The 15,663-nt window shown below is 35.7% G+C and overlaps 1 protein-coding gene across 24 annotated transcripts in view, besides 1 other annotated feature; it reads left to right on the top strand.

Annotated features, from left to right (window-relative positions):
- The window catches only part of BCLAF1 (BCL2 associated transcription factor 1), a 33,220-nt gene extending 23,568 nt beyond the window's left edge, over window positions 1-9,652 (top strand). For 23 of the 24 annotated variants that reach the window (NR_170166.1, NR_170168.1, NR_170170.1 and 20 more), the window contains 2 exons: window positions 4,802-5,014; window positions 5,164-7,985. Coding sequence is in view for 17 of the 24 variants with exons in the window: in NM_001386704.1 (NP_001373633.1) it covers window positions 4,802-5,014; window positions 5,164-5,169 (219 nt within the window). In the remaining 7 variants the exon portion in view is untranslated. Of the gene's footprint in view, window positions 1-4,801; window positions 5,015-5,163 lie in introns of all 24 variants that reach the window. The other variant, NM_014739.3, reaches the window with a different exon arrangement.
- Window positions 15,499-15,648: an enhancer, noted in NCBI's record as "active region_25110". NCBI's record gives its function as "activates an Ori minimal core promoter by ATAC-STARR-seq in GM12878 lymphoblastoid cells {active_cell/tissue: GM12878}" and the evidence as "EXISTENCE:reporter gene assay evidence [ECO:0000049][PMID:35858748]".

The following is a 15,663-nucleotide window of genomic DNA, read 5'->3' as shown; positions in this document are numbered from 1 at the left end:
GTTCCTTCCATGGAGGAAGATTGTATTGGACTTGAGGAATTGTTGACTTTTTCAGTTGGCTTTTTATGAGTATATTTGAATAAACCTGAATGTCCATGACATACCTACTTAGAGGTTATAGCTATAGTTTGAAGTGGATCTCTATTTTGTCTGGAAAAACTATATATGTTTCAAAAATATATTTCCATTTGCCTCTTTTTTGGCATGTTAATGACCAAGAACCAAAAAAAAAAAGTTACAGAGTGCGTTATGCATAATGTTTTCTCAGTTTATGCTTCTTGAGTGTCTTGAATTGACATTCTGGAAAGTAAAAGGCATTTGATGTATAGAAAAATTTGAAAGATCCATCTACTTGGTTCAAGAATTTATGTATTAACAGACATGTTTATGCTAGGTACTAAGGATGGAAAGACAAGTAGGATGTGATTCTAATTTTTGACTTAGAGACTGCTAGTAGTAGAGAAACAAACATTCTAAATATATATGGTGGCTTTTCACTTTTCCCAAAGAAGAAATAGGTGGATTTCTGCAAAGGAGACAGTGATTAGGAGAGACTTTTGTAGAGGAACTTGACCTTAATCTTGAGGTTAAGAGGTAGGCAAGTGTACTGCACATAGCAGAAGGAGTGAAACAGCATGGTATAGATAACTCTAGTACTCAGATGGCTAGATGGTTGGTATAAGTGTGGGAAAATTGAGTACAAGGAGTCAGTGTGAAAGGTCTTAATACTTTTAAGAAAATAGAGTTTTAAGCAGAGTTTACAAAAATCATGGGTGTTAAAAGTTAAGCAATTTGAGAGAATATAGTGTCTGAACTAAGGGGCTAGATTTGAGAAAGTAACATTTATGGGGACTTGAATTCAGGGAGTTGGTAGTGAGAGGAAGGAATCTAAATCTGTAGGAAAGAAGCTCCTTTCAAAAGATTAAGTTCTGTTCTGAACAGGTTGAATTTGAAGTGCCTGGGAGAAATGGAGCTGTCCAGTGGATAGTTGGTAATTCAGATTTAGAGAAACAAAAAAATCTAAGTGCTCTAATTTTATAGGTCACCATTAAAGCTGTGTTAAGATCACAGAAGAGACGAGATAAAGACCAACATTTCAAAGGTGGGGTGAAAAGTGAGAGAGAGTAAAAATGCCAGAGAAGTAGACCAGGTATGATAGATAGGTCAGAAGGTTAAGAGGGAATGAGGGGTGAACAAATAGATAGTAATTGTTTAACACTTTTAACAATTTACAAATATTAAATTTAGGCCGTTTTTCTATGGCATTCTCTTGAGTCTGCTAACCCTTAACAAGTACATACTCATTTTGGGTTGGCGTTTACTTAGGCAGTAGTTTCATTAAGAACTGTCTTATTTTAAGAATTTAGCCACTTATAAGTAGCAGTAATATTTTTACATGTTGCTTTTCTGGGTTATATTTAAAAATCTTGGTCTCTATAAAACATAAACATTGATTTGCCACAGACTGATGATGCTCACTAGAATATCAAGCAAAATTACACACTTTTTCCTTATAAATTAGTTCCCAAAGTTAATTATTTTGGTTTTTACTTATGAGCCATTGAAATGGCAACTTTGGTTTTCACATGAATAGTTAAATTTAAAAGATTTTGTATCTTATATGTAAAGGAATGTTGAGGGAAAAGAAGGAAAAATATGATTCAGAAGAAAAGTCTAGAACTAGACATTCATTCCCTTAGGTTCTTTCAGAACAATTAACCAGTTTAAAAGAGTTTGCACATTTGGATGAAACATTAATACTTAGTAACTAACAGGCCAGGCACGGTGGCTCACACCTGTAATCCCAGCACTTTGGGAGGCTGAGACAGGTGGATCATGAGGTCAGGAGTTCAAGAACAGCCTGGCCAACATGTTGAAACCCTGTCTCTACAAAAAAAACGAAAATTAGCTGAGCGTGGTGGTGCGTGCCTGTAGTCCCAACTACTCGGGAGGCTGAGGCAGGAGAATCGCTTGAACCCAAGTGGTGGAGGTTGCAGTGAGCCAAGGTTGCGCCATTATACTCCAGCCTGTGTGACAGAGTGAGAATCTGTCTCAAACAAACAAAAAAGCTTAGTAATAATAGATAACATTTGTTAAGCATCATGTACTATGCTAGGTGCTGTTCTGAGTGTTCTGTATGTATGAATACTTAAAAAAGGCTTTTGAGTTGGGGCCATTATTCTATTTTTGTGGATGGAAAAAACTGAGGTACAAAGGTGGAGTAGCTTAAGCAGAGTTATGTGGCTAGTGCAATGGGGTCAGGATTTATGCATTGGGCTCCAGAGTCAGGGTTCTGAAAGTCTTGTTTGTACTATTTGTTGTCCAATACTGAGTTATAGTAATCTTTGTTGCATTCTTTTTGAATTTTCCTATCTCTAAGCTTTGTTTTATGCAAAGGTGTGGTAATGTTTTCAATAATAAAAATTCCAGGAAAGATACTAGTTTTAGTTAGAACCTGAAATTCTATGGAGGGGTGAGTGTGAAGAGTTGGAGCAAGTGGGAAAGTACTGAAGTAGGCAGATTCTCAGTGTTGAGTTGCTGTCTTCAAAGGAAGAGAAAATCGTTGGTGGGGAAGGGGGTTCAGGATTGGAGTTTTGGTTATTATTCCTTTGAAACGTGATCCTTGTATGGAGAAGAGAAGATGATTCAGAAGGTCTTGGTTTCTAATACAGACTCCTTTGTTAACATGTTCTTAGCTGTGTATAAATATCTAACTTCTGGCCCTTTTAAATCTGAGATAATTAAAAATTAAACATTTTAATAATGAGACTGAAATCTTCGATATAAAACTTGAGTATTAAGAATATGTTTAGCATCAAAAATCTCAATTAAGTAGCTGCCAGGATGCCCTACGAAAGGCACAGTTTAATTGTTTAGGTGCTGTTGTGTTTACCAAGTTTCAGATGATTGTATATTAAAAGCAATGGCTAGTTTAACCCTAGTGTCTAGCTTTGCTCTTGGCTTTTCTATTTCTGCTAACTCTTAGCTACCTGGTGTGGTAATCATATACTGCCACCAAGATATCTGGGAAATGTGTTTTATGGGTGATGGTCACAAGGGGTAGAAGAAAGGGCTAGCTCTGTGACCTTGGGCAAGTTACTTAATTTCTCAGTGCCTCAGTTTGTTTATTTCTAAAGTGAGGGCAGTAATACTATCTTAGAGGGTTGTTGTGAGGATTAGTTGAATAAATACATGTGAAGTGTTCAGAACAGGGCCAGATCCATATTACACACTATAGAAACATCATTTTTGCCACCATTTATTGAGTGCTTGCTTGTCAGACACTGGGCCGGGCACTTCCTGCTGATCTGTGTTCCCTCAAGGCACACATTATTAAAATGAAGTGAATTCTAGAGAGGTTGCCCAAAGTCACACAGTTTCTGATAAGATTTAAACCCATGCTTCTACTCCAAAACCTCTTCCCAGAATCCATGGTGTATTGTGTAAAAATCATAAAAAAACACAGCCTCTGGAGTTGGGTATGTTAATGTGATAAGGGAGCATGAAATTATGTAGTGGAGTGGGCATTATTTTTAGTGGCAGACTATTTTAAAGTAGTTTATTTTGGGTTTGTAATAAACTCTGCCGTATTTAAATTTACACTTTTGATAGTTCCAAAATTCATTCATTATAGAGTCATGTACACCTCTACCTAGTAATCTTTCAGTGGTTTGGTAAAGATAGATTATTAGCAGTTGGTAAGTTCTCTTTCATATGGTCTGTTAGTTACCCATATAATTGAACTTTTCAAGTCATGAAGGGGGTTAATCAGTTAAATGAATATATCCAAAGGCACAGTCTTATGTTTTGGAAAAAAAATACTCATATGCCATATTACGTAAAAAAAAGTTTTAGTGGCTTTTGGATGGTTGCTCACTACTGGTACTCTATAGATTACACAACATTTTGTTTGCATTATACCCCTTTTCTAATAAAGGGGCATTTTGCTTTATTTCCCATTTTTGTGGGTGACAAAGTTAATAAGTTAGCTGTTAATTAAATTACATACAGGACTCCCTTGGCCTTTTGTATGAATATAATACCCATCTCTACTCATCTACAAAGTCAAGTACTTTTCAGTTTTGCAGATTGTTTTGCTTAATAGAACAATTTCATAATTTGGGGATCATCTGTATTTGAATACAATTAATGGTTAAAGCTGGGATGTGATAACTGCAGTACTTTAGATTGATGAAGAACTGAGTGAGATGTTAATTCTAGGGACCGTGTCATGATTTACCATTGAAATTCTCTAGCCCAGAACATCGATATGTACTGTACATTGATCTAGATTTCAATCTCAGTAGATTTAAAATCTACTTTTATATGTAAAGTATAAAATTCATACCACCAGTTTCATTTTAGTGAATGTTATAATATTTTAATGATATTTTTATGACTTTCTGCTGCATCTTTATGACTAAGGTAATTTTGGGAAAAACTTAATTTTATCTCATTGCATTTGGTGTAATAATAAGTGGACTTGGATTGACATAATAAAAAAACAAAACTCAGGATTCTAAAAATCAGTGGTAATTTAGCAGTTGAGATCTTCCAAATGATTGTCTGGGTAACCTTCAGTGCTTGGGTTGCTAAGTAGTAAGATGTAGTTATTCTCTTGATGATGGAATGTATTTTTGTTGAAAAATTCAGTTTTACTGGTTTTGTTTTATTGTGTTTTAGAATATTACCAATCTCATATACCCAATCTTCAGAAGATTAATACTGTGATTTATGATTGGAGAAATGATCATCTTTACAAGAAACATTTCATTGACAATTGTTTTTAACCTTTCTGTAGCATGACGACAGAGATGATGGTGTGGATTATTGGGCCAAAAGAGGAAGAGGTCGTGGTACTTTTCAACGTGGCAGAGGGCGCTTTAACTTCAAAAAATCAGGTAGCAGTCCTAAATGGACTCATGACAAATACCAAGGGGATGGGATTGTTGAAGATGAAGAAGAGACCATGGAAAATAATGAAGAAAAGAAGGACAGACGCAAGGAAGAAAAGGTATAAAATTTCAACTTGTGATTCTGACAGATTTTTTTTGATATAGGTTTGGTGGGTGAATTATTTCATTTTTAGGAACAATTATTAATATGGTTCCTTTTCACTCTCCGCATCTTTTGTTAATCTTTAATTTTTTCTCTCTCTTTTAGGAATAATAAATATGAAGTAAGATTACAACAGAGCAGAACTTGCACCCACCATTTTTTTTACCTGATTTTTGTTTTCAAATAAGAATGTAAGCATTTTACTTAAATTTTACTGTTTGCAAGTAGTCTATAGAAATTTTGTTTTAAGTCTTCAAATATCTTGAGAAATAGTAGACTGTATGTTGAAAATTGTACTGAAATAAAGTAGAAAATTGTTACGTACCATATTTGTAACTATCAACTTTTAAAACTTTTAACGTTTTTGTTACATGCATTGTAATTCTGCTTTGTCTATAAGATATGGTCAAGTACAGCTCTGTGAAAGTTCTGATTCTCTTCCTTCCCTGTTTGTCAATGTTTTATTCTGAAGTAAACGTTAGCTCTACATATAAATCCTGGAACAGAAATTGTTTATAGAGACTACACTAATTATTTTAACTGTATACATCTGTTTAATTTGAACACACTACATCGTAGGGTGACTGATTTTTGAAGTATACCACAGACAAAAAGTTGTTACTATGGTAAACTAAGCTAGTTTAACACTTGAGCAAATGCTTAAGAAGGAATTAAAAAAAAAAAGCTTTGCCAATAGCTAAAAAGTACAAGCTATTAAAAATCAGATTGAAAAGTTTTGAGAAAATGTTATTTTTACTGAAAGCAAGCAGTGGCCTATAAAGAACATTCTTAGGAGCCTTTTCTATTTGCGTTCAAAACTGTGTGTTCTCTTTCTATTCCTATTTGATAGTTTGAGTCATGGTCTTAGATATTAGCTATTTGTGAGAGGAAACTGGTTTGTAACAATACTGCAAATAGAAACCCCATTTCTACTGAACATCCTAGTTTTAAACAGAAGAAAAACTGTAATCCTGGGGTTGGTATGTAGGAGGTCTATCCTGCAGAATAAGTTGATACATTAGTACCTGATTTCATATCTTACATATTTATTTGAGCTGAACATTAGTTTGTAGTGTAACTATTAGTAAAAATAGAGAAACACAGCATACTGTTCATTAATAGTATTTTAAAAAAATTGTTTTTCAAATGTCACCAATAAAAGTTTTGGCAGGAAGCTTGTTGCGGCATTGATCTAACCTTTTTCCCCCCCATTTCAGTTGCAGTTTTTGTAGAATGGCTTTTTCTTTTTCCTCTTAAGAGTTCTATTCTTCAGGTAGATAATTTTTCAAATGTGAATTATCTTTTGTGTCTATATTGATAGCTCTTAAAGGAGTGAAAATCTAAAATAGTAAATTTCAATGTTAAGTGTCTGCTTTATGGGCATATATAAAAGTAGACACATTTCATTTGTTAATTTAGTTGTGTGTGTGTGTTAAAAGGAGCTAATGCTTATTCTGTTAATGTAAACTTTTGAAGATCTTAAGTGTATTGCTCTTTCATCTTAAACACTTTCGAGGATTTGCAGTGCGTCTAGCACCTAGATTACAGCCAGGAACATTGGTTAAGAACTGTTGGAAACAAAACTAAAAGCAAACTCAACATATGTGATGTTTATGGCCCTCAGATCCTTAGTATTGTGTGATTTTCCCCCGTTAACATGTCTTTCTAAAATTGTCTATTAAAGCAGAGGAAATACCTGCCAAAGGAAGTATGTATTGCATTAATCAGGGCATAACTAATATTCTCCTGTTCAGAATAATACTTATTTACGTGTGAAAGCAACATGGATGTGATTCCCAACACAGAATTTTCATGACCCTTTTATTGTATACAAATAAATACCATAACAGTTACTTGGTTAGACATCAAATCTGTGTGCATGACTATGTGCTTATCCACTTAAGACAATAGGTAAAAGGGGATCTGAGAAATTATGTAATAGGGAGTGGGAATAAAACTACTTAATTCCTGTGGGCAGGTTATATTTTAAGTTCAAATGCATTGCTTTAACCTTTGGTTACTTTTATTCTGTTAAACAGAATTGAAGAAAGAGTATTATACCAGAGTGTAGTAGGCTAGGGTGATTGTAAGAACTCTGTAATAGAATGTCATTGTGGATGTTACCTTTTTCAGATCCAAGCATATAAAAAGCCTGTATATTTTTTAAAAACACATCTTAACTCCACGCTTTACGATATTATAAAAGTTGAATGGTTCCTCTTGGTAAGGATATTTGCTTACAAGTGCTAGGAAATAACTCACTGATACCTGCGTTAACATACTTTGTTTTGCCTAGAGAGGGGCAATAAAAATGAACCAAAGGATATTTCCAGAAAGGATTAAGAAAGCTGTTTAAGAAGGCCATGACTCTTTAGGTGTGTATGTGTACCTTTCAGCATCCTAGGAATTTTTATACTAAAAGCAAAATGTTTTTTCCAGTTAGTCTTCTTCAAGGAATTACTATTGTTCCTTTTGTCACAGGTAAAATCAGTGTTGGGAATTATAATTTGAGAAAAATATTACCCAGTAACATTGAATGTAGATGGCTAAACGATTCTTACTCAGTGTGATGTATAATGATGCAACAGGGACCCTTGTAAATTGTCATACGCCAATAAAATGTCACAAGTAATAACTGCTGTTGTTTGTTTACCTGTGTCTATTTCACACATCTTATTTCTGTGGCCTATTTTAGAATATCAGCGCATCTGTTAGGAAGATTACTGGTGTGGTAAGGCTTGATAAATGCTTTATAAACTCCCTCAAACCTTTCTTTACTGTTTTTTTGTTTTGTCTTGTTTTTGTTTTTGTTTTTGTTTTTGTTTTTGTTTTTGTTTTTCCCTTGTCTCCCCTGGGAAAATGGGAAATTTTACAGTTGGTAAATCTAAGCCAAAATTATTTTGAAATAAAGGAATTCTGGATGTCCAGTTTAGTCCTCGTTTTCTTACGTTAATCTGGGACCTTATCACCCATAATATGGTGATTACTTCTCTTTCTAAAAACATAGTAGCTAGTAAATAAGTAAAAAGAATTGTCTTTTCATTCACTTTAAGTAAGATGTGGTATAATTCTTACCATGTGCCATCCTGTCAGTTTTAACAAAGCATTTTCACAGAAATTTGTGTACTAAGACAAACTGACACATTTTGACTCATACAAATGGCAAATTAGTCCTTAAAAATTCTGTGAGAGAAATAACTCTGTGTGTACATACATATGCATGTAAAGTGTTGTGTAAGATCATTGGTAGCTTAATTATACTGGATAATTGTAATGTTATATACAAATTTCTTATATAAAAGTATGCTGCATTATTAACATTTGTTTAACTTTTCTTATTTTTCTTTTTCTGGGTTTCAACTGGAATCCCATTGGTGGGGATGTACCTTAAGTTTCCTTGTGGAATAATAGACTTTCACATCCAGAAAGAGAAGTTCAGAGGCCTTTCTCAATTTACAGAGTTGAAGAGGAAAGGCAAATGGAGGAATAAACTTCATTGTCATTGGGATTAATTTGGCTAGACTCAATCTCTTGAGCCTTAAAATGAGAAAGTAATATCCATTACATGTTTAGAGTTCTCAAATAGTTGATACTATTATTAAATGTTTCAAATTTTATTGGGGTAGATACTAAAAATTAGTACACTGTCCTAATGAAGTTTAAATGAACAAGTTTTACATTTCTTAGGATTCAGGAATATATGGAATCTAGTTGTATTTAATTGACTTGAGAGCCACAGAGATTGTGTTGATTTATGAGCTGGACTCCTATTGTTTTAGAAACATGCAGTAATGATTAACTTGTGTCAATGATGGTAATGAGACCAAACTTGTACATTTAATTAAGGGTACCAGTTCTTTTTATGTTACTAGACTATACCTTGGCCTTTAAAAATGAATCTCACTGATTAAAGAGAACAGGCATTATTAGGATAGCATTCCACCACAACTAGAAACATTCAAATAATGTGTCTTAATTGTAATCTGTATATAGGAAAATTTTTCCTATGGATATTTTTGGTGTTTTACCACAGTGAACTGATTTGTAGCACTTATGAAGTGCAGAAGGTAATATTCTTGAAAATAGAAAAAGGTTGGGTGAGCAGGCTTTAATGCCTTTCCCCCAAGAATATACATCGAATTTTTCTTAATCTTTTGGGGTTGGCCAGCTTCCAGATTTCATTAATAATGAGCTCTGCCTTTAATAAAAGTACATGATCATAGCTACACTGTATGTTTAGGTGGTGTGAAATGATTTATAATCACAGCTTGAACTGTGTTTGCTTGGTACTGTCATAGTGATTACAAATTTCATGGAATGCGAAGAGCAACAATAAATAAAAAATACCACTCACCCTCCAGAATAGTGGATTATTTGCTACCTTGAGTCCTTCACTATGGAAAATAATTTTTCAGTCTCATTTGTACTAGAAGGGAAAACTAAACTTTCTGTTGAGTTCTCAGGATACTTGTAAGGTGGCCGTGAAAAAGAATGTTAAATGCACTTTGAATTATTTATTTATTTATTTATTTATTTATTTATTTATTTATTGAGATGGAGTCTTACCCAGACTAGAGTGCAGTGGCTCGAGCTCGGCTCACTGCAACCTCCGCCTCCCAGGTGCAAGCGATTCTCCTACCTCAGCTTACTGAGTAGCTGGTATTACAGGTGTGCACCACCACACCCAGCTAATTTTTGTATTTTTAGTAGAGACGGGGTTTCACTATGTTGGCCAGGCTAGTCTAATTCTCGGCCTCCCAAAGTGCTGGGATTATAGGCGTGAGCCACTGTGCCTGGCCAGAATTTTTAAATTTTAATTTACTTCTCACATATCCAGCCTGCAGGTTTAATTTATTTTTTATTTTTTACCTTACCAAAAGATTTCCCCACTCCAGAATTGTTTTTGGAAGAAGTTGAATATCATTACCAAATGTACTTTAAAAAAAGATAGGCCTGTGTGTGGTGGCTCACGCCTGTAATTCCAGCACTTTGGGAGTCTGAGACGGACAGATCACCCGAGGTCAGGAGTTCGAGACCAGCCTGGCCAACATGGCGAAACCCCGCCTCTACTAAAAATACAAAAATTAGCTGGGCTGATGGCACTTGCCTGTAATCCCAGCTACTCGGGAGGTTTAGGCACCACAATCACTTGAACCTGGGAGGTGGAGGCTGCAGTGAGCGGAGATGATGCCACTGCACTCCAGCCTGGGTGACAGAGCTAGGCTCTGTCTCAAAAAAAAAAAGATTACAGTAATTAACTGATTAATGTCAGCATACTATTCAAATGGCTTGAAGATACAGACTTGTAGAGTAATACCACCTCAGCATATAACTGAGGAATCAGATTTTTGAGTAATCGTGTTCAGATACTGCAGTAAGGGGATTTGTCAGCTGGGAGAAATGACTTAAAACTTAATTTGTACTTTTAATTGGAAAATGGGATGTAAAAGTCATGAAAGTCTGATAGAACTTGGAGTGAAAAATCGATGGCTGCTTATTTAAAAGGAAAAAATTAACAGTTCCATTCATGACTTACTGGAAAACTAAAACACATTGTTTTTGGAGTCCTTTCTAGATTTCAAAGTATACTTCTTTCCCTTGATATAACCTTAAGATAATCTTCCATATTTATATAAACATGAATATTTGTCCTTTACAAAAGATAAGGTTCAGTTAACAGAACTGAGTTATATAAAATGATTCTGGAATCTTAGCTTTTAGTATGTAAAGCTCTAGTTGAGGTGTGGGGAGGTCAGAGAATTGGGGGAAAAATAGCATATGGCTTCTCATGTTACAGATTTAGCTGTCTGGCCCACTCAGGACAATATTACATCTTGATTTTGTTCTGTATTCTCAACTTGGGCAACACTTTAGGAAATAAGTATTTGGCTAGTCTGTCACTAAAGGAAAAAGATTCAGAGCTTGAATTGGCCAATAGTAGCTACATGAAAAAGGGAAATAAGGTATGCAATTTTCAGTGTCAAATGAAACCACTTCTGGGAAGCATAACTATTCCTGCTACCAAATATTGAGATACTTGTCCTTAGGTTTTCATTTAGATGTTGCTGTTCCTAGAATAAGTCTTCCTAGAATAGGAACAGGTTTTCAAATGAGTGTTTCTTGCAACATTTTTTTCTGGTGGCTGAGGGCATGATGCCAGAGTGTAACAGTAATAATAAGAGGCCTTAAAACCATCTTATCTGAATATGGTAGTGCTCCAGGTATTAGGAATATCTAGCAGAGTAATTGGATTAGGATGTATATTCTTAAAGCAACTGTTCACATGGATATAACTTGCAGTTTTAAAGTTCTATGTTTCACTAGTTAAGTATGAGCTAGGCACTAGAGCAGCAACAAGATAAGGCTCTGTCCTTTTCTCATTTTTATTCTTGCACTATAATATGTGAAAATATTTTCTTGCATTATATAATATATTCATAGGCTCTAGTTTTTGAATGAGCTAGCTCCAAATAATGGGGTATTAATATGCAAATCAGGATTCTTGTAATAACTCTTTGATACTTTTGAGGATCAAGTTCTCTGTCTCTCATTCAGAGTTCATCTATTTAGACTTGCCTCTTTCCTAAACACTGGGAAGCCTAAAAATTTTAGACACATGGTATGTTGACTTTTTTTAACATAATTTTTTGGTATCCTGGACAAATGTGAGTCCTGCACTGTGTTACACTGAGGGAATAAGTTGAAAATGAGATGTATTGATACAACAAAGCAGGTAAGGAGCAGATCCTTTATGGAGAAATTTCAAAAATAGTTCTCAAACAACACTGCCCAGTAATAAATTTCATATATATAACAGCAACAGTCTGTTTTGAATGTACCGTTTGCAGAAGCCCTGTGATAGTCTCAGTCGCCATTAAGGAAAAGGACAGCAGAACTAAAGTTAAAATACCCTAGTGGGTTGAAAAGTCAAGGTAAGTCCCACCTGGCTAAGTAATGTTTAGGAGTATCACTGCATAACCGAACAACACAATATCATAGTGTTAATCCTAAGTCATAAAAGATTAGTTGGAAATGTGTGGTTATATTTAATAAAAATTTTGATGAAAAAGCTTTAAGGTGTGACAGCTGTCTAAAGGGTTAAATATCCATCTGAGAAAATCTAATACCTCAGAATCCCCTGATAATGCCAACCCAGTGCTAAATTGTTTAAAGCTCATCAAGGAATATGACTGCCTTACATAAGAGGGATTTTAGACAAAAATGGATCATCTCCTGAGCTAATAAGAGTTTCTGGCATAAGGTATTATGTATAGTAGGATAAGGTGTAGGAGAAAAGTGTAAGTGATCAAACTAAACCTCTCAGTGCTAATTATTGTCTTTTTTTTTTTTTTTCGCGACAGAGTCTAGCTCTGTCGCCAGGCTGGAGTGCAGTGGCACAATCTTGGCTCACTGCAACCTCCACCTCCCGGGTTCAAGTGATTCTCCTGCCTCAGCCTCCCAAATAACTGGGACTACACGCGCTGGCCACCACGGCAGGCTAATTTTTATATTTTTAGTAGAGACGGTTTCACCGTGTTGGCTAGGATGGTCTTGATCTCTTGACCTCATGATCCACCCGCCTCAGCCTTCCTAAGTGCTGGGATTACAGGCGTGAGCCACTGCGCCCGGCCTAATTATTCATTTTCAATGTCGAACTTTCCTCACATTATTTTAAATACCACTTTTATTCAAAATTTCCAAGCTTACCATTATACAAAGTTCTCTTGCCATTTTAAACCATTTGAATATTCCAGATATTCCAAAGGATAAAAGATAACAACCTATTGTTTAAAAGGAAGTAGAAAGGCAATACAGATTTCAGATGAAGCCCTGAAAGTAATTGGAACAGCCATAAAGAGTTTTCATGGTGCTGTCATATTTCAGGTTAGTGTGAAACATGTTCTAGCACTTCAAATCCAGCATTTCACAGCTACTGTCTCTGGCTAAGTTTACAAAGGGGGGGGGAGGGAAGCAAAAATTAGTAAATAATAGTAAATAACATTGGTATGTGGAAGGAACAAGGATGGAAGTACTTTGTGAATGACAGGTTTTCAAACATTTTTATCTAGATGCTGGTAACTCTGAAATTTACCTCTTAAACTTCTCTCCTGAACTCCATTTTTTCTCTCCAACTCTTCCCTGGATAGTTCTGCTGGAACTTAAACACTCCAAACTGTCATCATCTGTACCCCATCCTACTGCAAACTTATGTTCTTTATCCATTAAGCTAGTTGGACATCCCTATAAAGTGTTCTGTCTTCTCTCCACTGCCGCCCCGCCGTCCCCCCTCAACCCCCAATAATAGATGCTCATCACTATCCCTAGCTGCTGCATTGGTCTCTTAGCTTGGACTCTACCCATAAATTTCATCTTTATATTGCCATCTCTGGGATGTTTTTCAAGTGCAAAATTACAGTCATTTTAAAACCAAAATTTACGCATTGATGTCTTCCTGTTGTCTGAACCTCAGTCATGATGAGCTGTAGGAACTCCCTATGTACTGTTTTTGGCCACTTTGCCTTATGCTACTCCTTGTTCACTTACCTATCTTAAGTCTTACACCCTAGCAAAAAATTTCCAATTCCTCTTTTTGCTCAGGGGCCACTGAATGCAGCACATACCTTTAGGCTAGTAATTCATTCCATTTACATGTCTCCACCAGAATAAAATTTTAGCATTTAGTATTGTGCATGGCATACATACTGTAGTTATGTAATAAATGGTCCTTGAGTGTGTATAAATGAAAGAATGATAATTGCGTATTTATAAAGGCTTGATTTAATTTTATGTCTGCTGCTGCTGCTTGAAACAAATACAATCTGGGCTGTCTTAAAAATTGCTGGGATTACAGGCGTGAGCCACCGCTCCCAGCCAAGATAGGTTCTTGATTGCTGTGTTCAAATCCTTAAAAGGCTTTGCTAGAGAAGAGACATGTTCAAATCACATAGGATCAGGAGACTGGTATTTGATACTTGTCCGATCTCCTCATTTTAACATGTTACATATTTAAAGGACAGAAATCAGAGTCAGTAGGTAAAAAATCTTAGGGACATAGACTTACTAGCTCAATATAGTGAGCTAATTCAATATAATGAGCTAATACTTGACAACTAGATACTTTAAAAAGTGTTAACATGCAGCTTGTGAATAGCAAGTTTTCTACCTGGATCAAACTGGGGGAGGGGAACACAGGAAAACTCCAGAAAGCAAGCCACTATATTTTTGAACACTACTCAGAGACAACAGAAAAGCTAGCTTTGTGATGTCAGAAAAGCTTTCTTGGACCCTATCTCATTCTAAGAGTTCAGGAAAATCTAATTTCGTGTAAAAATGAGCAATGGAAAAAGATGTCCAATCACATAAAATGTTTTTGTCAAAATGGAATTATGAATGCTTTAGTAAACTGGAAGAAATATCTCTGAAGAATTTAGAAGAAAGTTGTCAGCAAAGCATTTATGGATGTAGTATTTGACCTGGGTCCTCCTTGCTACTTAAATCAGTTGGAATATTAACCTATGTTAATAGTGCAGCTGGAAGAGTAGTGGTTCCGTTCTCATTCTGGAGGGATGTTTTCATTCTGGCCCTGTCTGTTTGCTGTTTGATAAGAGAGTGGGAAAGGGAGGGGGTTATAAAGTCGTGATTTATTCACAAGGGCAAAGGGAAGGACAAGGAACTTGAGAAAATTACTCCATCTAGGGTTTCTGATCCATCATCATCCTTGTTCTGCGCTCACTCAGCCGTATCCAGCTCTACTGGGCATATCACTATTATTGCTATCAATTGTTTTGCTAGTTGCTTAGTCCCAAATCATTATCATCTTTTCTGTCATTCCACATTTAGGTATTTTATTCAACAAATAGACTGAATGCCTATTATATACCAGACACTCTTCTAAAGCACTGGGGAAAGATAGAGCATGGATCAAAACAACTTCCTGTTCTCCTGGAGTCTACAATTTTGTTTGGTGGTAGTGGAAGCGTAACTAAATATATATGATAAGTGCTATAGAGAAAAGCAAATTAGGGTTAGAATGGAACGAGATGCCCCGCTGGCCTGTAAGCTCCAGGAGGACGAGGACCTGCCCTCTCATTAAGGTATTTTCCGTGCTTAGAATGGTGTCTGCTACGTAGTAGATATCTATTATTGGTTGAATGAATAAGTGATGTTGACCATAGATAAATTAGTTCAAAACTTAGATTTTCAAATTATGTCAGTAGCAGGCACACATCTTAAATTGTTATATCACTCCAGTGCACGTCTTGCTGAAATTCAGAAGAGGAAGCTATTTCGTATGAAGCCAATAACCTCAAATCAGAAATGAAAACTGGGATATCACCTGTCATATCACTTGCCATCCTCGGCTAAGCCAGGAGAGTGTCCGGCCCAATATTCGGTAGCCTGGATACGTAGGTGTATTTAGTGAACGAAAGAATGAATCCTAGCCACTGCAAAGCTGCAAAACCCTCGGGGGTAGTGCTTGGCTTCTGCCAGTTCCACAAGTATTTTAATATTAGCTGAACAAATGAAATGACCAAAAAATAAATCGCGATTTTGTGTCAGATGAACTTGGGAAGGCGGATGCGCTTAGGGTCCGGCTGTAGCGAG

This window comes from Homo sapiens, chromosome 6 (genome assembly GCF_000001405.40).
Source record: "Homo sapiens chromosome 6, GRCh38.p14 Primary Assembly".
Taxonomy (NCBI): Eukaryota; Metazoa; Chordata; class Mammalia; order Primates; family Hominidae; genus Homo; species Homo sapiens.
The sequence above is the reverse complement of the archived record's forward strand: the minus strand, read 5'-3'. Positions and strand labels throughout refer to the sequence as shown.